Source organism: Homo sapiens, chromosome 2 (assembly GCF_000001405.40).
Source record: "Homo sapiens chromosome 2, GRCh38.p14 Primary Assembly".
In the NCBI taxonomy this organism is placed as follows: domain Eukaryota; kingdom Metazoa; phylum Chordata; class Mammalia; order Primates; family Hominidae; genus Homo; species Homo sapiens.
Window position 1 is genome coordinate 7306246 of NC_000002.12, and position 23947 is coordinate 7330192.

General features: G+C 37.9%; 1 long non-coding RNA gene and 1 pseudogene across 1 annotated transcript; both read right to left on the reverse strand.

Annotated features, from left to right (window-relative positions):
• Positions 1–8227: 8227 nt before the first annotated feature.
• Positions 8228–23443, reverse strand: LOC107985846 (uncharacterized). The gene is made up of 3 exons (XR_007088655.1): positions 23358–23443; positions 17604–17668; positions 8228–8315 (listed from the first exon to the last, which is right to left on the reverse strand). It is a non-coding gene; the product is annotated as an uncharacterized LOC107985846 (long non-coding RNA).
• Positions 18503–18805, reverse strand: LOC124905951 (cyclin-dependent kinase 2-associated protein 1-like; annotated as a pseudogene).
• Positions 23444–23947: the final 504 nt, after the last annotated feature.

Genomic DNA, 23947 nt, shown 5'->3' on the forward strand with positions numbered 1-23947 from the left:
CAAATGGATGTAAAGTAATATCTTATTGTGGTTTTGATTTGCATTTTTAAATCCTTAGTGATATTGAACATCTTTTCATGTGCTTATTGGTAATTTGTATATCTTTTTTGGAGAAAAATCTATTCAATACATTTGCCCTTTGCCCTGTTTTTAATCATATTTTGTTGTTGTTGTTGAGGAGTTCTTTGTATATTTTGAATTTTAATTCCATTTACAGATATAGTTTTTTTCAGAATTCTTTTCCCCATTCTCTGGGTTGCCTTTTCACTTGGTTGATAGTGAACCTTGATGCACAAAAGTTAATTTACGTGAAGTCCAATTTATCTATTTTTTTCTTTTGTTACCTATGTTTTTGGCATTATATTCAATAAATCATTGCCAAATCCAGTATCATGAAGCTTTTTTCTATATTCTCTTCTAAAATTTTTCTAGTTTTCATTCTTATGTTTAAGTCTTTGATCCTTTTTGAGCTCATTTTTGCATATGGTGTAAGGTAAGGGTCCAACTTCATTCGTTTGCATGTGGATATCCAGTTTTGCCAATATCATTTGTTGAAAAGACTGTTCTTTCCCCAAAGGTAAAGGTCATGGCACACCCTTGTCAAGAGTCATTTAACCATATATGTGAGGATTTATTTCTGGGTTTCACTCTTTTTGAATCTAATGCTTCCTCATCCTATAATATTTAAGTAAATGTCACATTTTCTATAAAATGTTCTCTAGTTCTCTTGTTTAGGGTCATTTGATATCCCTTGAATTATGATTTTCTTAAATGTTGAATATAGGTCTTTTTGTCTATTCAGTGTCTTTACCTTGAGGGCTAAGAATGTGTTTTATGTTTAGCCATCTGTGATGTTTAATTTTAGATGTCAATCTAGATGATTGGGGTAAGGGTTACCCATATAGCTGGCAAAGCATTATTCTCGGTTATGTGTGAGGATGTTTCTGGAAGAGGTTAACATTGGAATTGGTGGACTGGGTAAAGAAGGTCAGCCTTCACCACTGTGAATGGGTATCCTCTAATCTGTTGAAGGCCCAGATAGAACACAAAGAAGGAGGAAGGGAGAATTTGCTGTTGTCTCTTCTGGAGCTGGTACATTTATCTTCTTTTACCTTCAGACATCAGAGTTTTAGACTCCTGGAATTAGACCAGTCACCTTCCAATTTCTCAGGCCCTTGGCCTTGAACAGAATTACACTGTCAGCTTCCGTGGTTCTCCTGCTTGCAGACTGCTTATCATGAGACTTCTCAGCCTCTATAATTGCATGAGCCAATTCCCCTAACAGATCACCTCTGTCTATCTATTCTATTCCATTCTATCTATCTATCTATCTATCTATCTATCTATCTATCTATGTATCATCTATCTGTCTATCTATCCATCTATCTATCTATCTATCTATCTATCTATCTATCTATCATCTATCTGTCTGTTTATGTATCATCTATCTTTCATCTTTTTGTGGCTGAGAGTTCTTTTCCTTGCAAAAATAATGCATGCATTTTTATCTATTTCTTTCTTTAAATAAAAGCAGCAGGTTACAGTTTTCTTCTCTCCTCCTTCTCTCTCCCTTTCTTTCTTTTAAAGCTATTTCTTTATTTAGTATCCTACTAGCTTCTGGCTAGATTCCCACCAACATGTTTGAACAGAATTTTAAATCATTTTTGCTTCAAAAGTTTCTATTTTTTAAAGGTCTGTAGGTACATCAGCAAAATATGTGCACAGAAAAATGTCACTATGTTTATTTAGCTGCACACATGACCTTTTATTCAGCCATTTCTGAGCTGAGGTAAGAGACAGAAGATTGCTTCTGACAAATTCAACCCCATAGAAATTAAGATAGAGAAATGGGGAAGCACTGTCACCCATTTTAACAGAATTCTCACTGAAATAAAAGTAAAAAGACAACAGGAAATTAATAGAACTAGCCTTAACAATTATGAAACTAGGTCTGTGTTATAACATCACATACTTGCCTACCCTGTAATTTTGCCTTTGGCACTCCCTTATCCCCTTACCCTGACTTTCTTATCATCTTAGACCCAGTCCTCTTTCATGAACCTTGCCTGGCTCTCTCCACCGTCCTCCAGACAGAAGTATTCTCCCTTCCTGGATGGCTCCCTTGTACTTCACATAAGTCAGAATTCTTGGGTGCAAACAACAGGTAAGCTGAATAGGAATCTGAAGCAAAAATAGATACTTGCAACAGAAAAAGAATTTGTTGAAAGAATTCAGTGTCACTCAAAAAATCAACAGACTGTCTAGACAGAGAACCAACTAGGAATGTGGGCAACCGAGGACACAACAGAAAATGCAGCCAAGCTCATTCCACTCTGTACTTCCACACAGAAGAAATGCTTTGGACCTGGATTAAATACAAGACCCACAACTTATTAACTATGTGTCCATGAATGGGGATCTGTACTCTCTCTAAATCTCATTTTCTTCATTTACAAAATGGGCTAATCCTCACCTTCCACAGTTTTTGCAAGGATAAATTATATTGAACAATAGGCATCTGTGAAAAAACTTAGCTCTGCGTCTGGCACATTATAGATACTTAAATCTTTGTATCTTCCCTACAAAGATCTTCAACCCAAGAATGACTGACATCTTGTAACAGGCATTTGCCATCTTAAGGTCTCTCAGTATCTGAAAGGTAGCACAGATGTAAATTTTTCTGCATTGTATCATCTACTACACTGGGGAGTGATTCTACCTTTGCGGGCTCCCACTGAAAATAAACTTGGAAAGGGAAGAAACCACATCCCTGGGGAGCAGCACATCCTTTTTGGCAACTCATTGACAATCGGCAGCAACACTGGGATGATGGAGCCACATGGAATAGCGACGAAAATAGCAGGGCATCACTTTAGTTCAGGGACACCTCCCTTATCTCCCTGCCTTATTTCCAGGAAGCAAGTGATCCTTTCTATGGAAACTTCCAGGCTGAGGATTTCCAGCTCAAAAACCTAGAGAGATTGTGCTGTGTCTGCCATGAATCAGTGCGGCGGGGGCGGGGTAGGTGGGGGGTGCCATAACAACTCAGTACCATTTTCCTGACTCCAATTTTGATGATTAGAAGAGAGTGACTTTTGTACTAGTTCTATTATTGTGCTTTGGGTAGGTGCTTTTTTTTTTTTAATCTTTTTCTTTTTTCCTTTTTTTTCCCTCTCCTCTCTCTTTCCTCTCCTTTTGAAACGCATGTATTATCAGTATTGCTGTTGACTAATAGTCACTAAACACACCATTGTTCTTAACTGAGCTTGGCATTTCACTATAGAAATTTTCAAAAATAAATTCCCGAAAATTTAACAATGAAGAAGAAATAAGCCTCAGCTTCTGAGAGTGATGCTCACCAATTTTGTTTCCATTTTTTCCTCTTTGTTTTCATTCTGATGCCAGTGCAATTTTCATCTCCTTCTGAGCACTCCCTATTGAAAAGCTAAGTGTTTCAAATAGCATGGGCAAGATTCAATGCACTTCTCTACACCCCAGCAAGTCGAGGACACACCATCTGACCATTAGCACCCCGCTGGGCCTCGGAAGGCCTGTTTTGCTTCAGCCGAATGTCATTTCAGCCAGTAACAATTATTTACTTCTGGAAAAAATTTGCTAAGGGACATGGAGCCAACTGGTGCTTTTGATTTCAAGGCCTACTTGGTTATTCCTAAATTTCAGCTTGGGAAAGAAATTTGCAATTACCTCTCGAGAACATGCCATTTCACAGGAATCGTAATGGCATTTCACTGTGAGAAGAAAGTGTGTTTTATTGTAAGATGTGCCACCAGGTTTCTCATCAAACAAATGGCTTTTCTCAGACTCAATTTACCTTGGATGCTGCAAAATTCACTAATTTTCCAAATCTCAGTCTTTTCATCATGTACAAGTTATGTTAAATTTATATCTCTCTTATCTGCACATAAGACGTTTTAAAAAGGGTACACATTTCCAGTCTTCCATAATGTGAAGAATTCTTCCTAGTAAAACAAAAGTTACTTTTCCCCTGAAGCCTCAAAGCACTCTATCTACATCTTTGTTAAAGTGTTTATCTTGTCTGCACTGCATTTTCATTTATTTGTGAACATATTTTACCTCTCCTACTGTCAGCAGGATTTCTTAGGGGCTAGAAGTATAGTCCACCCAACATTATCTTGCACAATGCATAGTGTGAGGTACTGGTTATTGCCGGAGTATTTTACATACATTTAAGGCTGTTTATTTAATATGAGGAGGTCAAACGCTAACAAGACTCAGTAAATTTCAGATATTTTACATAGTTCTTTCTTAACACTGGTCTTAGATCTGTCTCATCTCATTACTATGAAATATCCCTTGTGAGCAATTAATCCCTGTGTCTCACAATGGTCACCAGCAAGGTGAGAATAATATCCACCAATCTGAGGTGCTGTGAGAATGTAATATGAAGTAGAATAGGAGAGTGCTTGGAAAACTCAAAAGCAGTGTATGCTCTAAGATATCTTTATGATTACACCATTGTACTGGCTAGGGATACCCAATTTTCCTATGGTTGCTGCTCAGTTGTCATGAAATGGGATTATTCTAAAGAAGACAAGAGAAAATAAAACAGGGATATGTATGGAAATAGCAGTAACTGAATGAACTTAGGCAATGCAGTGACCTGACAACACAGCAGAGGTGACACCAGAAACAGCTAGGCACGCGTGAAAGGTCACTTGAAGGGCTCAAGGGTTACTAACAAAAACAAGCACCCCAGCAGCCTGGAATCCCATTGATGACTGAGGTATGGGCACAGGAGATAATCTTGAAACCATGAGTACTATTTCCTAGATCGACTCGTTTAAACCTCCTTAACTTGTAGTATCATAATGAAAGTCCAATATCCTAATTAATAAGAAACTTATTTGGAAACTCTTAATTGCCAGAAAAATATTAGGAGGTTTAAGATTATGAACATTACTGCATGAAAGGCTGGTCTGTTTTCACGGCAGCATATGGACAGTATTGATCAGTTCAACTTTCCAATACTCAGTGTTTTAGTTTCCCCTGAGTCCATTGCTTTCTATCAATAGATCTCTGAGAATAAATAAGCAGCTATGCAGAATTCTGATGTGCAAGACAAATAGACTGTTGACATCAGCTATATTTAGGAAAAGGCTCAGCATCAGACCCTTTGATATGATGGGGCACTTCTTCCCAAGAAATGCCCAAGCCAAATCTGTCTACCTCTGTGATCTTATGGGCTTAGAGCCTCTCATTAAGAGGCTCTGTCTTTGAGTGTGCATTTTCTTTTCTGGACATAAGCTTAGACATGTGATCTCAGAGTAAACACCTCTGTGTTTCTACTTTCATGTTACACCCCGCAAAGTTTGCCAAACCCACTCTTTGTCTATGACACCAGCCTTCTCCTTTGTGGTTTCCATTCTGCAAAATTTTTATCATGGCTGTCAGATTTGCTGTAGCCATCAGATGTGTCTGTGTCTCATTAATCTTTCTTAGCCAAACATATTTTTTTTTAAAAAAACTTATTCGACCAGATATAAAAATATATTTGCAAGTATCCCAAGTGTAAATTGCCAAGCCTTGGTGAGTGGTCCATGTGAGATCTTTGCAGTTCTTATAACTTACAAAAATAAACCCCTAAGGCTTGGAGTAAATTGAAATTATTCTTCATAGTTGTATCTCCACTACGCTATTCAAGATTCTCATTCTAACCCCAAAGCATCCATTGTGTATATAAATAATCTACGTTGTGTTTCTCTTTCTCCACCACATTTCCAGAAAAGAATAATATTCCCAAACTGATTCGTCTGTAAATAAAGGACGGCAAACTCCAACACAATGCATAGTGCTGCAGTTGCTGGATTTGTGGCCATGACGCACTGTTCAGTCAGCAGAAATTGAGAGGTTGTTCATTCCTCTATGTTGTCATTGATATGTGAAAGCCTGTATATTAGCAGACAGGGAGCTGAGCTCAAAATGGTCAGATGGGCCCTGCCTAAAGCAGAGTAGAAGGCTGTTCACAAACCAACTCAAGTTTTAGCTCAATTCAAATATAGGCTGTTAGTAATGCAAATTACCATCACCTTTCCAAAGCTCTTCAAAGTATAGAGGCGGTCAATGAATGTTCTAACAGGACTGATTCATGAAGCTTGAACTAGGAGCACACAGAAATGATAAAGACTAATTAAAATAAGGAAAAGTTTTAAAATCACAGTTTTGTGGTGTTAAGCAAGGTTGTTGAAGCAAACAATGAATCAGCACGGGCAAAAAAAATCAGTGACTTCAAATGGGCACAATTCATTAAAATAAACCTTTAAAATAAAAGTAAAAAGAATATAAGGTAACACAGCTGCGTATAAAGATGATTTTGCAAAAATAGCTTTGTCAAATTGTGGATAAGAGAATATGCAAATATCTTGCATAGGTACAAATTGGAGGCCCAGTGAATGGATATTAACTGCATGATTCTGTTTCTCCTTAACATATGGGTTGGTCTTGGATATCTGGTCTGTCCTGATCATCTGATGTTTACTTTTTTCTTTTAATTACTAAACTTTATTTTTTAAAGATATAACCCCTGTCTTCATAGGCACACACTACCTCCCCTACTGTCAACATCCCACACCATAGCGGTACACTTTTTATAATTGATTAACCTACATTGACACATCCTTATCACCCAAAGTTCATAGTTTACATGGGGGCTTGTGGTGATGCACATTCTGTGGGTTTTCACAAATGTATAAATGACACCTGTTATAATTACAGTATCATACAAAATGGTTTAATTGCCTTAAAATTTCCTGTGCTCTGGTTATTCACCTATTCATCCCTCTACTCTCACCTGCCATACAACATCTGCAATTACCGATCTTTCACTGTCTCCATAGCCATCCTTTTCCAGGGTGTGGCACAGTTGGAATCACACTATATGCTCTTTTCATATTGGCTTTTTAACCTTAGTAATATGCATTTAAGTTCCCTTCCTGTCTTTTCGTGGCTTCTATCTCATTTACTTTTAGCACTAAACAATATTTTGTTGTCTGGTTATACCAGAGTTTATTTATCCATTCACCTACTGAAAGAAATCTTGGTTTCTTTCAAAAATTTTTTTATGTTTATGATTATTATTATTATTATTTCTTTTTTTATTTTATTATTATTATACTTTAAGTTTTAGGGTACATGTGCACAATGTGCAGGTTAGTTACATATGTATACATGTGCCATGCTCGTGTGCTGCAACCATTAACTCGTCATTTAGCATTAGGTATATCTCCTAAAGCTCTCCCTCCCCCCTCAAATTTTGGTAATTATGAATAAAGGCACTATAAACTTCTGTGTGCAGGTTTTTGTGTGGACATAAGTGTTCAGCTCTTCTGGGTAAATACCAAAGAGTCTGACTGCTGATCGTATGGTATGAGTATGTTTAGTTTTTATGAGAAACTGTGAAAATGTCTTCCAAAGAGGCTTTACCATCTTGTGTTCCCACCAGCAATGAATGAGAGTTCCTGTTGCTCCACATCCTTGCCAGCATGTAATGTTGTCAGTGTTCTGGATTTTAGCCATTCTAATATGTGTGCTGTGATATCGTGTTGTTGTTTAATTTATTGTCAAGAACAACCTCCCAGGAGTGGTATGACATTCTCTTGTCATCCACATTGGTGTCATGGTCTTCTTTTTCTTTAGAAAAGAATCCATCTGTTGCTGTTCTGAGTGCAATATGTAATACTTTACTTTTTGGGAAAAGATATTTGTGACTCTCCAATAGTTTTTTTAAAGAGAAAAGTCAAATATAAGTAAAAGAGACAAAAAATCTCAAGTGAAATAAAGTCGATTTGACTGTCTGACACTGGGTTCAACATGACACTCAAAGTAAACAATTTTTCAGTCAATTTTTTTATTAGACCAAGATGCAATATTTGAACTAATGTTATTTTTCGTGTTACAGTATAACCACAGCCATGACCTCTACTTATTTTACTGAGAAAAGATTAATGGTGCTTCAGGGTGTCTTTTGTTTCCATATCCAGAAACCAAGAAGTGCAGGCTGAAGATATTGTTGTTGTTGCTGCTGCTGATGCCACTGTTGTTATTACTATTTTGGCAAGTTCTCATATAATGCTTTGTCAGGTTCTCCTAATTAACTTCTTTCAACTTCAGTTTCTCATTATTAAAATGGGGATATTTCCAACTATGTGGGGTTGCTGTAGAAATTCAATTAGATGATCCAAATACAAGCATGCATCACATTGTTTGAAAATGAGACACATTTTTGAATATACAAAAACAAAGGATTTTCTTCAGTACCATTGCCACAGATGATTACCCTAAAAAATGAAGATATACAAATGTCTTACATGTTTTGAAATATAAAGTGATTGTAAATTGAAAAGAATTGGCAATTTTCTGTCTAAATCAAACACATCAATTCTTTGCATAATTTTAGTTTTCTGTGTTTCAGAAAGGAGTTGCTTAGATTATGTTTTTCTCTAAAAGTAAATTTTTGTTTAGGTGCAATCTCTTCTACTAGTCCCATGTGTCAGTGAAACCCAGTGTTAGATTCAATATTGACTAGGAAAGGAAGAAAAAGAAATGTAGTAGATAATAGCTGTGTAAGTGAGGTTGATTTTGCTGCAAGTAAAAACACTTTAATAAAAATGTATGGGACAATATGGACATTTATCATCTCACATGCCAAGGAATTTGGAGGTAGAACAGAAATACAGATGCTTAGTTCATTGATTCAAAAATATCATCAGTGTAACAGAACTTTCCAAATTTCTTTGATGCTCTTCTTAGAATATTGGGTCTTGCCTGTAAATTTGTTTAGACATAGATCCAAAAAACTTGTCAAGGTCATCTAACTATATCATAAAACTGGGTGCGGGGTAATTTCTTCTCAAATATCTCTTTGCATCAGTAAAGGAAAGGTTACTCACAAAAACATATATTATATATTTTTTTTCTTCTAATTTAAAAGCATGTGGTCAGAGGGCTTTAATTATATATATTTTTAAACTATGTTGAGATTTTCTTTCTAATATGTGCACTTACAAATATTTTATATAGCCTTGAGTAAAATACATATTCTGTAGTTTGAGGGTATGTACCTCCACTTATATGCATAATATGATGTTATTAATAAATGTTTATTAAATGTTTATTAATTACATTATTAATAAATAAACGTTAAATGTTAATTAATAAATATCCACTTATATGCATAATATACTGTTATTAATAAATGTTAGATCACATTTATTAATTATACTGTTCAAATGCTTTTGTTCTTGTTATTTATTTTCCCAGCTTGAGCTATCAAGCTGACACATCTGAGAAAAGATTACTAAAATATTTTTCTGTGATTTATATTTATCCCATTTATCCTTAAAATTCAGTCATATAATTTTCTTTAGAGGATTGCAGCATAAAAAATTTATATGACATGGAAATATGTATTTAGAGTTACATTTTAATCCATGTATTAGTAGCATGTTTATATAAAAATATCTTAATTGTGATTATATAACCCAAGGATATTTACTTTGTATTTGAACTGTTCTAATCAAAAGTCAACATCATGAGAAAGCAAAAATGGCACAGCAACTTTAAAAGGCAGTTTGGCAGTTTCTTATAAAACTAAACATATTCTTACTGTATAATCAGCCAATTTTGCTCCTTTGACTTTACTCTATTGATGTAAAAACTTAGTTCCCGTCACAAACCTGCATGTGGATATTTATATCAGCTCTATTCATAATTGTTAAAACTTGAAAGCAACCAAGATGTCCTTCAGTAGGAGAATTTATAAATAAATTGTGGTATACCCAGAAAATGAAATATTATTTGGCACTTAAATGACATGGGCTATCAAGCCGTAGAAAGACCTGGTGGAACCTTAAATACATATGGTAAATGCAAGAAGTGAGTCTGAAAATGGTACCTACTATCTTTTCCAACTACATGACATTCTGGAAAAGAAAGGACTATGAAGACGATGAAAACATTAGTCAGGGGTTACAGGAGAGGGAGGGATGAAAAGGCAGAACACAGAAGAATTTTGGGGCAATGACACTCTTCTGTATGATACTAGAATAGTGGAGATGTGTCATTATACATTTGTCAGAGCCCAGAGAGTGCATAGCTGTGGATTTTGGGTGATAATGATATGTCAAGGCAGGTTCATTGATTGTAACAAATATACCACCATGGTGAGAGATATCAATAGTTGGGGAGGATGTATGGGTGTGGAGGAGTGGGAGCATGGAGTATGTGGGAACTCTGCGTTTAATGCTAACTTTTTCCGTGAACCTAAAACTGCTCTAAAAATAAATTATGTCCTTTAAAAAAAAAAGCCAACATCAAAGCTGTTACTCTAAGTGGATTGAATTGGGTTCAAGGTGTGTAGATTGGCCTGGAATTATACAGGCCCTTCCACACTTGCATGAGGGTACTTTTTTGGTATATGAATCTGGCAAGTCCATATTCTTAAGAATTACACCTTATCAGAGTGTCCCTGCATCTTCCCACTTATAGATGAGTTTGATCACCTGGCTCCACTAGGTTGACTGAATTCTGCCATTAAGTATGCTGCTTCCGTTTCCTGTAAACTTCATCTGCAAGATACTGTCAGTGCATTTAAAGAACAGAAAGTTTACAGGGCGGATTTTATGATTTGGTAATTTTTTTTTTTTTGACAGAATTTCGCTCTTGTCGCCCAGTCTGGAGTAGTGCAATGTCATGATCTCGGCTCCCTGCAACCTCCGCCTCCTGGCTTCAAGTGATTCTCCTGCCTCAGCCTCCCAAGTAGCTGGGATTACAGGCACTTGCTACCACATCCCACTAATTTTTGTATTTTTAGTAGAGATGGGGTTTCACCATGTTGGCCAGGCTGATCTCGAACTCTTGACCTCAGGTGATCCACGTGCCTTGGCCTCCCAAGGTGCTGGGATTACAGGCATGAGCCACCGCCCTCAGCTCGTACCTTCTTATTAATAATGACGGAACAGCTGGAAGAATTTGGTTGAGACTATTTTTCATTGCAATGTCCCACCTGGTGGAAAGTTTGCCAGGAAGGAAGCTTGCAGTACTCACCTTCCTCTAATTTTTGGAGACCACCAATATTTACCTCAGAAAAGCAAATCATGTGAATAATCATGTTCACTTTGGTCAGAATACAAAATGCGAATTGAATTTTATTCTTTGTAACATTATGTTATTAGGTTACCAAAATTCATGATTTTAAAAATCATATTGATTAATCTTTTATGATCTAATTGTATCTTTCCTAATATCTATCAATACTTTCTGCCTCAAATTCTGTTTTCTTCAATATCAATATAATCACTTCCACAATTTTTTTTTGGCTTATTGGTTTTCTGGAGAAACATTTTTATACTTTATTTTCAATCTTTCCATATGTTTTATTTTACCCATCTCTGGTGAGCTCTACATAGTTGATTTAAAAAAGTTCTCTAATTGGTATAGCTAGGTTTTCTTCCACCATATTCTTTTGTAATTCTTTGGTGTGCATGCAATTTTTATTGTTTTTTACTTTATATTCTTTCTGTACTCCTTTGGGTGAATATATATTTTATATATATATATATGTGAATATATATTATGTATACATACACAAAATCCCTTCATGCATACCTCATCCCCACTTCTTAGAAGCTTTATATAATATTTCTATTATTGCAGTAATTATATCTGAACATTTAATTAAATGCCTATTATACTTTTTTCTAACAAGATCAAGTTACTTGTTATTTATATTCTCATGCCAATCATATAAGGACTTCTGCTGATAGTCACCAATTATCTTCATCATCAACATTGTCATCTCCCTTAATTGTTAAAAGATTTGTTCGATCTTTTTATAACTTACTATTAATTACAATCAGTATATAACCAAATTTGTCAACATGTTTACCAGTTTCTGTGTTATTTTAGGGGTCATACTTTTCCCCCTTCTCATTTTTTTGTGTTTGTTTTTTTGCTTTGGTATGTACTTGAATGTTTCTTTCAGAGAGGATCAGTATTGGGGGGCAAATTTTGTACCTCTGAGAAAGGTTGTCTTTTCACGTATCTTTGAATGATGATTTATCTGAATATAGAATTCTAGGTTTACTTTCATTATGTAGTAAGCTCAGCCGTCAAAATATATTATATTATTATGTTCTAGAATGTATTGATCTTGTCACGAAGTCTGGTGTCAGTACAATTTTCTTTTCCTTTTTGTTTTGAAGAAGTGTGTTTTTTTCTCTCTGACACTTTGAAGATTGTGTCTTTATTCTTAATTTTATAGAATTTTAATATAGTGTGTCCAGATATGTACTTATTTATGTTTATCCTGCTAAGGACTAGTTGTGTCTTTAATCGGAGCATTCATGAAATATTTTAACTTACCTTTAAAATTATTTTTTACTAGTTTTTCCTGAACTCTTTCCTGTACAAATCTCCTAAATATGTCTTCTGTCTTAAATGAAGTTTATATTTTTGTATCTTTGTATTTTCCATGCCTCATGTTGGATCAATTCCTCAGCCTTCAGATTTACATATCATATCTTCAAATGCATCCAATCTGAAGTTTATTCTATTTGTTGAGGACTTTTCCTATGTTTTAAATAATTCATTTTTAAATGTCTTATCTTCTTTATTAATATATTTTCTTATTTTTATAAATATTATTCTTTACCTTAGCTCATAAACATTGTAAATACAATCATGCCATTTATATTCTAGTTTCTTCCTTAATTTTAGTTCATCTGAAGTAAATTCACATTAAATATTGAATTTGGGGGTGTTTTTCTCAGTATTAGTTTTACATGTGGATTTCAGAATTTTGATTTGTAGAACCATCTTGATCTTGAATTCCTATTAGGATCTGTGTGTGTGGTGGGGGGAGGGGTGTTTCTTTCTCTTTCTCAGTGCTCTTGTTCCCCCATGCCATCCCTTCTACCTCCCTCTCCCTCAGTTTTTAGCTTGAGTCTATCCAGTCACAAGTCCTCTGAGTTTATTCAATCATAGGTCCTCTGTGTAGAACCAGGACACGTAATAACTCCTCTACTCTTGGTCCTACATAACAAACAACTTATACCTTAGAAGGAGGTAGATAAACCAAAGAAAAAGGAGTTAGCACGTGAGGTATATTGAAAGAAAAGTGAGTAACAGCAGAAACAATTCCGAAGTGTAAACACACAAATCCAGCTTTGTTTTCCAGCATTCAATGACAAGATACAAGGAAGGTCTGTATAAGTCACAGAACCAGTAAAGCATAAAAACAAAGTATTTTCCCCTTAAAAGCACAGTTACATCTGATAATTAAACTGAAGAAGACATTTTTCTGCTGAGAGCTTATTGTATCACATAATGGGCATCATTCATAATACCCTCACAATAAATGCTGAGATGAGTTTCACAGGGTAACTTTAATCATATCCTTCAATTATTCATTGTATCAAAAACAAAAACAAAAACAGTGAATCAGAAAAGCAAACTATAGGACAATGACATGGAGGCAAATGTGATGTCACTCAGGCAAGTGACTCCTCATGTCTGGCTTTAAACTGTGACAGATTTCAGAGTACTTGGGGCAGAGATCACAAACTGGCAATTTGACACACACATAAGGCTTATTTACTCTATGGTATTGGTTCCCACCATGTCTGGTTTTTAAAAAAAAATTTAGTTGTCATTATATAAAAAACAGGTGAGTTCACACAAAAATCCAGGTTGTCAGTCATCCTTGTGAAGTGAGACCCTGGCAACACTAGACTTTCATTTTCACAAGGCAACCCCTGGCTGGAGAGTTCCCCTGACACCGTCAGCTGCTGTGCACCACCTGTTGGCCCAGTGTTCACTAATCTGCATCCTATTCCAGAACACTTCCATTCCACTCACCATGTCAACTACCGAGATCTCCATGCTGGCAGCAAATTTTCTCCAGAGGCAAAATGAGACTGACCACTTATTCTTCAAGCCCTCCCATTAATATCACTTCTTCCTGCCCAGCTTTGTGAAGGTTTTAAATGGCAGTGGGTTTAAGATCATTCCTGTGGCACCTCTGGGGCAAATTCCAGCCAAAGGCGAAGCTCTGTTCTTTACCATTCACTTGAGCTGAAAGTGGGATCCAGTCCTTCACACAGATAGTGTCAAATGAGCTAACAGTCATGTTCCAAACCTGCTTGAGGAAAATAACTTATTCTCACCAATAACAGCGAGTCATCAAGGCCCTGGTTTCTTTTTTTTTAATTTTCTTTTATTATTATTATTATTATACTTTAAGTTTTAGGGTACATGTGCACAATGTGCAGGTTAGTTACATATGTATACATGTGCCATGCTGGTGTGCTGCACCCATTAACTCGTCATTTAGCATTAGGTATATCTCCTAATGCTATCCCTCCCCCCTCCCCCCATCCCACGACAGTCCCCAGAGTGTGATGTTCCCCTTCCTGTGTCCACGTGTTCTCATTGTTCAATTCCCACCTATGAGTGAGAACATGCGGTGTTTGGTTTTTTGTCCTTGCGATAGTTTACTGAGAATGATGATTTCCAGTTTCATCCATGTCCCTACAAAGGACATGAACTCATCATTTTTTACGGCTGCATAGTATTCCATGGTGTATATGTGCCACATTTTCTTAATCCAGTCTATCATTGTTGGACATTTGGGTTGGTTCCAAGTCTTTGCTATTGTGAATAGTGCCACAATAAACATACGTGTGCATGTGTCTTTATAGCAGCATGATTTATAGTCCTTTGGGTATATACCCAGTAATGGGATGGCTGGGTCAAATGGTATTTCTAGTTCTAGATCCCTGAGGAATCGCCACACTGACTTCCACAAGGCCCTGGTTTCTAATAAGAATTGGACGTGGGTTGCTGGCATTTAACGTCACTTTGAAGATGTATATTTGAATCTTTTTCCTGGCTTAAGGGTAAGTGGTGGCAGGTTGTTGTGCTGTATTTTGAAAAGTCCATAAGACCTTATTCCTCACAATTCTTCCAGCCAAGAAATGCTGCCTCTCTTTGAGAACCACTGCTTTAGTGTTTGGTGAGTTAATTTTTGAGGTAAAAAAATGTAATTTAAAATGTGTCTATAACCAATTATGTTTTTAAACTCATCTTCTGTTTATTAAGACCATGGATTTGCCAAAAAATCTATCAGAGAATAGGACTTTCAAATTGAAAGAACGAGAAAGACAAAGTCCAAGAATTTTCACCCTTGATTTAATCTAGCTAATTCTTTACACAATTTAAGTTTCACATCTTACAGAAATAAGTGTTGCCTATTTTTCTCTAATTAGTAAATTACCATATGTCAATATTCTATACATCCTTTAGAACAGATTTTTGTCAAGTTTTATATCAGTTTAAAATAATCTACTTCAAATCCCTCAAGAATCGTGAATATGAATTGAGTATATCGGATCAGATCTCAGTTTTCCTCAAAAGATACTTTTTTTTTAAAGCACTGCCCAGTCCATTGTGATTAAAGCTCCAGGCATAGCCAAGACCTTTCTAAAAAAAACACAAAATGCTTTAGACTCTACTTCTCACCTTTCTCCATTAGCAACATACAAAATGGAATGAAATAAACTTCTTGGAATTATTATAATTCAACACTTTCAGAGAATGTATTTGTGCCATATTTTTTTCAAGTGTGTTTTTGTCCTTAAAATTTATTCATTCTGTTTTATCTTCCCACCAGCCTCTTGGAGGCCATTATCTTTCCATTAGTGAACTCTCAGTACACATCTTCCATCGGACTTTGATCTGCCACATACCTTTAAACATTCTTCTCAGTGTTTTGGGTCCTACAGAACCTCCCTCCCCATCTCCCCAGACACTCGAGATTTATAAGGACATTTTTTACTGCCTACTGTATGCACAAGGGTCCGTTTATTGATGCAAGATGAAACAAGGGTTCACACTGCCTTGGTGCTCTTTGCTACCAGAACAACTCTCAGTTTTATTCTGTTTTATGTAAATTGGGTCACAGATGTTTTATTGCTGCAAAATGCTTTGAAACTTTTTCATATGTTCAGTGGGAAAAGAAGCCTCTCAAAATTCATGCTGAAATAATTAAGCTTTTTAATTTCACTGTCAATTTATCAGAACAAGTGATAAATCTCTCTTTTTACTGCTGCTTCTACAGACATGACTTTTCAGTCCATTTCCTTCCTCAGATTGTCTGAGAGTGCCTTTCTAGAGCAGCTCAGCATGCCGTATGGAAACTCCAACACTTTACTGAACTCTTAGGCAGGCCGGGTAACAACGGGAGGTGTCAGTTCATGCTCCCAGGAACCTGGGAGAGCTGGGCCCTGGCTGCTCTGCAGGAGCTTTGCACTGTGGCAAAAGGACTTAACCTGACTCTGACTCTGTTCCCTTGATGCTCAGAATTTCTAGATATATCAACTCACCCCAGAGACAGATTTCCCACCTTTGCGGATGTGGCTAATCCAGTTTTACAGCATATAATTCAGTAGATGCAGCATGGCGGCGCAGAAGTAAAGATCTTGGCTGGATCTAAATCAGAGTCCTCAGCTCTGCTCCTGCCTCCATAAGGCCTTGGACAGTTCCTTCATGTTTATGATCCACATTTCCTCGTGCCAAAATGAGGAAGTAATCCCATTCTCAATGAGCTCTCTGGTTTCATATATGTATGGATTCTCCCTGAATGCCTGGTACATGCTGAATGGCCAATGAATATCAACGCCCTTCTCTTCCATGAATTTCACAACATTTTTCATCTGTTAACTTGGAATTTGATGAACCAACATGTTGCTAATCTATTAAAAAAGATCCGGAGTTGCTTACAAGAGTCAGTCCTTATGTGTTCTCCCATTTTATTGTTTTTAGTTGACCTATAATTTCTATGATGAATGGTCGCTTTTTGGCGTTTAAGTAGAAGAAGCTCATCTTAGGGACTCAGACGCATCGCTTTAGAGCTTTAGAAATAAACTTGTGCTCATGGTGTTCTCAGGAAAAGGCTGGCCTGCCGCCTGACGTCTGTGCATTGGTCTTTGTGTCAGAAAAACAACAACAACTCATTTTTCCCCAGAGAGCAACCTACTCTATGATTCTCTACCTCCCCTCCCTTCTTCCTTTTTCAAACACTGAGTTCCTTCTATGTGCTAGACCAGGAGTCGGGAAACATTATCTGTAAAGAGTCAGAGAGTAAATATTTTAGTCTTGAAGAGGCAGACAGTCTCTGTTACAACTTGTAAACTCTGCTGCTTTTGCAGAAAAGCAGATAGACAACAGTGAAATGAACAAACATGGTTGTGTTTTAACAAAAAGGCGGTTCTCACCAGGGAGTGATTTTGCCTTCCCGGACACTTTTGGCAAGATATGCAGAAGACTTTGATTGTCAGGAATGGAGAAGGGGTGCTGCTGGCCCCTACTGGGTAGAGGCCAAGGATGCGGCTAAAGGTCAATGCACAGAACCTTCCCTCCCCACAGGAAAGAATCATGCAACCCAAAGTGTCAATAGTGCCAAGTTGAACAATAAAACTTTACTCAAGGACACTAAAGTTTGAATTTTATATAATGTCATACACAATAAATATCAATCTTTTGATTTTGCTATTTAAAAATGTAAGAACCTTTAGCTCGCAGTCCATACAAAAACTGGCGATGGGTCATAGTTTTTCCACTCCTGTGCAAGAATCTGGAGAAACAAAGAGAAATAGAGAACAGTAAGTTTCCTTAAGATCCCCTCTCAGAGCCACAAAAGCAAGACAGACCTCATGCACTTCCTTTTATTAAGGAAAATAAGCTTTATTACATCAAGTAATAAATAGATACAAAGATGCAAACAGTTTTAGTCATTTTCTTCCAGATGTTTTGACCAACTTAAACGCGGAGCTAAGATGTACTTACAGTCTTAGTATGAAAATGTTCGGGGGTCCTTGTTAGGTTTAGTGGGTTGCTCTTTCTTCTATATTTATAACTTGTGCATTTAAAAAAAATTGACTTTGAAGCACTAATAGTCATGCAAATGCATAAGCAAAAAAGAAGTTACTTTAAGCAGAATCTACACTGTAGATGGCAAATGGGAAATGGGAACCGGCTACTAAGTAAAGCATGCTGTCAGTATGCCTTAAAAACAAAATCCCTGGAGTGGTATAAGCTTATGAAAAGGAACAAAGAACACCGTGTGTAACAAATATATTCAAAAGAGAAGATTAAAGAGACAATGGTGTCTTGGAGGCAAACTACAGTTTGCTGTAAGATAACTTTAGGTGCATCTTTTAAGTCAGTGCTTAAAAACAACAAACAAACAAACAGAAACCTGAGCAGTTCCTATTTGAAATGCAAATCCTAATTAACTGCAAAATCTTTTCTCAATCTTTGAGACGGTAGCTTCAGAGCCACGTGAACCACGGGAGGAAAAACCAAACTGTAACCATTTTGAAAACAAGGGTTTCATCTGAATGGGGGAGATTAACTGTGACTTCTTATCTTGTAAAAAGATGGAAATCCTTCAAAACCAACAAGGCAGCTAGGATCTGGCATTCCGTTGCGTTTCTGCTAAGCACTCCCGCACCAGTCCTCCAGCGTGAATCACGCCGCGCTGCATCCTCTCCATGGAGCTCTCGCTCCCCGCGTACGTGGTTCTGATCTCCCTCCCCAGCTCTTCGATGATGCCAGCAGCTCCGCGTATTTGCTCTGGGGCACCTGGCTGTTCCCAGTTCCCTGGGTGTAGCCTAGGGACGGTGACCCGTAGTCACTGAGCAGCTGGCGGTACTGTGAAGACGTCGCCATGCTGCTGGAAGGCCAGGGGACATTGCCAGAAGGCGTTGAGGGCGGCGGCAGGTGGGCATGTGCGGGAACCTCATGCACTTTCTTAAGGGACCGTGTACTTCAGTGGCGCATTCACCAGAAGAATCACAGAGCGTAACCTTGGCGAAACTCACCAGTTACTAAGTGAGGGCCCTTGGGTTAAGCCTCCCTTTTCCTATATTTTCTGCACAGTGCTTCGTGTTCTCTGTCCTCCATCACAGTAGCTTCTTTGGTTTCCTTCTGGGAGCATTCATCACAGTGCTGTCTGGTTATGAACACAGCTGGCCCAAATTGAGCACCTTGCATCCTGATATATATCTCCAGCCCATGAAAAATCACCCCGCATAACAAGTGGGCAGTAGCTGCATTGAGAACTTAACAGGATTTATCAGGTTCACCTGCAGTGCTGTGCTTAGCGCCACTTGGCAATCTCAGCAGCAATACACACAATTGATTCTACCCTAGAGAGTGTGAAGATCTGAATGCACTTCCTGGTCTTTGAAGCCAACATCTCTAGCTCACCCCGAAAAGTCCTAAAATCCTCATGGTTTGTTCTTTTTCACTGGGGCAAGTGACACACATTTTGTTTCTCCAAAGGGTTATGAATAGCCAAATTGCTTCTGGTCTTTAGAGCTTCTCAGATATCTCATAGTTCTTCCATGTATCTCCTGCTGTGTTGAAAACTTGCTGATCAATCATGCCTCCAGCTGTCCACAGCACTGAGGGCCCTAAGGAGGAGTGAGGGATTGTTTTCTTCCTCTGCCTTCATGAAACACAAGCAGAGGAATTATATGAGCATCTTTTAGCTTCAGTAACCTGGTTACTACTTGGGCTCCAACCTGATGGTCTTGCTGGTTTCACAGATAAAATTTGGTGAAAGGAACTCATGTAATTACACAAACACACAAATAGGAACAGACACACTTCTCAAAATGTTTAAATGTTCAAAACTCAGCTGTAACCTGGGACGTCAAAACTGTTTCTACACAGAGTGCCTTCGTAGATGGCTGATAGATTCTTAGATTGTCTACTGAAAGCCTGCCTAATCCAGAGTGTGAGTGCAATCTCCTGCTAGCCAAACCACCATGTATAACAATATATATATAAAGAATATATAAAGAAACTCAGCAGAGTACAGGAGGTAAGAATGGACACTCATGACTTCATGACTAGCTGATGATACTTATAGCCTTTCCTGAACAGCTGTGCTGCTGAAGTAAGTTAATATTCTATGTGTTTTATTATCTCACACAAGCTTGTAAAGATTTTTTTGTCTCCCATGTGGACTCTGAATTGACTACCCTGAAAAAAAAATTCTCCCCCCATGGATCCAGCTTGGCACCTGAGAAGAGTTCATTTTTGAGTTAATTTCTAGGACACAGACCTCTGTGGACTATTTCAGAAAAGCCAGGGAAACCTGTCATATCTCTCCTAGGCAAAACCCTCCAGCATCTCATCATCTGCAGCATCTCTTGTGCTATTTTCTATGTGCCCCACCCTGTCTGTGTCCCTCCCTCACAGCTCTGCTCTTCCTTATGCTTGTCTTCATCCCCATCCCTCCTGCCCATCGCTCTCGATCCCTGTTGTTGCCTTTGTGGATCAGCCTCATTTACACAGCAGTGCATCTTGCTCTCTCCTGCAGCTCCTCAGCCTTTATTTGATGACCCAAGGCTGCCATGCCTGCATGGATGCATTGATGATCCTGCCAAGGAAGAGATTTTCATATTAATAAGGCCTTCTAGAGATGAGTTCAGTCTCAGAAAGTGTCCCACAGATCAGAACCCCCTAGGAGACTCACAGAAGAAAAAATTCTGGGTAGTTAGGCCTCATAACATCTTTAGCTGTAAGAGAGGGTTGAGACAACTCCTTCACAGGTTTCACATTTCTTCTTCTATAACCTCTGAGCAGAACAGCTGCTGACAAAGCCTTAGACTCCCACGGACATGGCATTAGCTTCTTCCAGTTATGGATGCTGCAGTGGAATTTCTGGCTCTTGATGAGAGGCTGATGCTAGGTTGTGAGTAAGGTTATGCTTGATTCTGCTTTTCTAAAACCCTAATGCTTCAGAAAATCTTCTTGAGATTTCTGACAGTTTATTCTTCCACATGCTTTTGCTCATTTACTCACTTATTTACACAACAAACACAACTGAGTGCCCATGATATAGAAGACAGGATAGTAAGAAATGAGTGCGTCTCCTCCAGAGAAGTTTATATTTCAATGAGCTATATTAAAAATTGCATATCCCATTAAGATGTATGTGATTTCTATGATAAATATATAGGGCAAAGTATGTTTTTTATATATTTATATATATATAATGTTATATATGAAAAAAATATATATGGGAGAAATTGTTATGGAAACATACATCAGGGAGCCACTAGCTGTGGCCTATTTTGGCAGAGACCTCAGAAAAGAGAAGGCACTAAAACTGGGCCTTCTCAAATAAAGTGGGTCTCATGCTATGCTAGAAATTTTCCTTTAGCTTTGCAGGAGACAGGAGAGTTTACATAATTACTCATGAAAGGGTAAAACTTCACTGGATACAGAAGGAAAACCAAAGATTCTGGTCAGTTTTACAGCTTACTAGAAGACAGTAAGCAGGAAAAACATGGATTCTGGTCAGTTCTATAGCTTACTAGAAGACTAGCTTACTAGTACTAGTGTGACAGTGAACAAGAATATTTCTGAATCTCAGTTTCTTTATCCATAATGGGGGTGATAAAATCAGCTTGTTTCAATTCAGGTTCTTAGTTACAAACAACACTAATGTATGATAATGGCTCAATGAAAAGAGAATTTGTTGGAAATGCATTAGTGGGATCACAGTTTCAGTGTGTGGCTGGAGGACCAGGCTTGGAAGAAAGACAAGAATCCAGGGAGTTTTCAAAGACTAGGAACAGAAAGTGGACAAAGATATGCTGACCGCTGCACTGCTAAATCAAGAGGCTTGAAGTCCAAAGATTGCTTTCTGTTTGTCCCCTTCTCAGTATTGAAATTGCTAAGAGCTAGTGACTGGCTGAGCTGTGGATTCTTGAACTTCCATAGTAGGAAATAAGGAGCTGGGGGATGCTAATAGAAAACAGGAAATATTAATAGAACAGGGGATGCCAATGGAACAGAAAATACGAATAGGACAGAGAATACCCACAGAACAGAAGATATCAATAGGACAGGGTCTCATATTGAAATATAACCCCCGGTGTTGGAGGTGGGGTGTGGTGGGAGGTGATTGGGTCCTGGGGGCAGATTTCTCATGAGTGGTTTACACCATCCCCCTAGGTACTGTCCTCATGATACTGAGTGAGTTCTCCTGAGACCTGGCCATTTAAAAGTGCATGGCACCTCCCCCTGGCTCTCTTGCTCCTGCTTTCACTATGTGATGTGCCTTTTCCCTGTTCACCTTCCACCATGATTGTAAGCTTCCTGAAGCCTCCTTGGAAGCAAATGCTGCTATGCTTCCTGTACAGCCTGCACACCATGAGCAAATTAAACCTCTTTTCTTTATAAATTGCCCAGTCTTGGGTATTTATTTATAGCAATGCAACAACAGAAAAATACACAGAGGATGCCAATAGAAGAAGAAATACTAACAGGACAGAGAATGTCAACAGGACATTCTAATACTAATAGGACAGATGATGCCAATAGGACAGAAAATACTAAGAGGACAGGGGATGTTAAAAGAATAGAAAATACTAATAGAACAGGGGATGCTAATAGGACTGAAAGTACTAACAGGAGAGGTGATGTCAACAGGACAGAAAATACTAATAGGACAGGAAATACTAATAGGACAGGGGATGTTAACAGAACAGAAAATAGAGCAGGGATGGCTAATAGGACAGACAATACTAACAGGACAGGTGATGCCACTGTTATAAAACAGGAAATGCTAACAGGACAGGAGATGCCAAGAGAACAGGAAATAACCAGCAGAACAGTAAATACTAATAGGACAGAGTTTGTCAATGGAACAGGAAGTACCAATAGGATAGGGGACATTGCTCTGAACAACAGAGTTAGTTCCCTTACAGTGTCTAATGCTATCCAAATGAGATCATGAATTCGGAAGCGTTCTATAAACTGGGATCTTTTATACAATGTTAGGGACACTGCGTATCCACTGTGTCTCTTTTTCTACTGTTATTACCTGACAATGGACTTATCTAATCTGATTTCTCAGATGAGGGCAGAAGAAGGTCTCCTTTGCAATTGCTCTATTCAGTATTTGCATGAACCCTTTCTTTGGGGGATTAGGCAGGTACATGCTGACCTGCTGAGCTAAGATGCCACATATACTTCCCAGTTTCATATTACACAACCAAATTTTCTACTCATTTTCTACCAGAAATTTTGAATACCCAATAGCTGTGGAAAACCACATTTTGATGGGAGGTATAAATGATGCAGAAATATATGGATACATTTTTCTTTAAAATAAATACAGACATTAAATCAAAAGGGACAACTGGATTGATATAATTTAGCTGTCCAAAAAGACAGTGTTTGTGCGCTAAAGTAGAAACACACTAGCTTCTTTTCTATTGAATGTGGGAAAGACTGCTGACCATCCAGCAAAGCACCTTCCTCTTCTTTCATAATACAGGCTTATAGCCTGAGTGGAACTGTTGACTCAATTGTATTTCACAGGTTCCCTTGGTGTTGCATTGCCAATGACTAAAGTTTCCTTCTGGTTAAAAGGAACAGAAGTGACATGTGTTGTTTCTAGGTCTGGCACCAATGAGAGTGCCTTTTCCATGTTCCTTTTTCCAGATGTAGTGGTGAGCCCAGATGTAGTGGTGACCCAGTTTCAAACATGCAGACCATGACAGTATCCTAGGGCAGAAGTCAGCAAATCTTTTCTGTAAGAAGTCAGAGATAATAAATGTTTTAGGATAGGTAGGGTGGTTCACGTTTGTAATCCTAGCACTTTGGAAGGCTGAAGTGGGCAGATCACTTGAGCCCAGGAGTTCAAGCAGTCTGGGCAACATAGAGGAACCCAGTTTATATGATTTGGCTGTGTCCCCACCCAAATCTCAACTTGGATTGTATCTCCCAGAGTTCCCACCTGTTGTGGGAGGGACCCAGCGGGAGGTAATTGAATCATGGAGGCCGGTCTTTCCCATGCTATTCTTGTGATAGTGAATAAGTCTCTTGA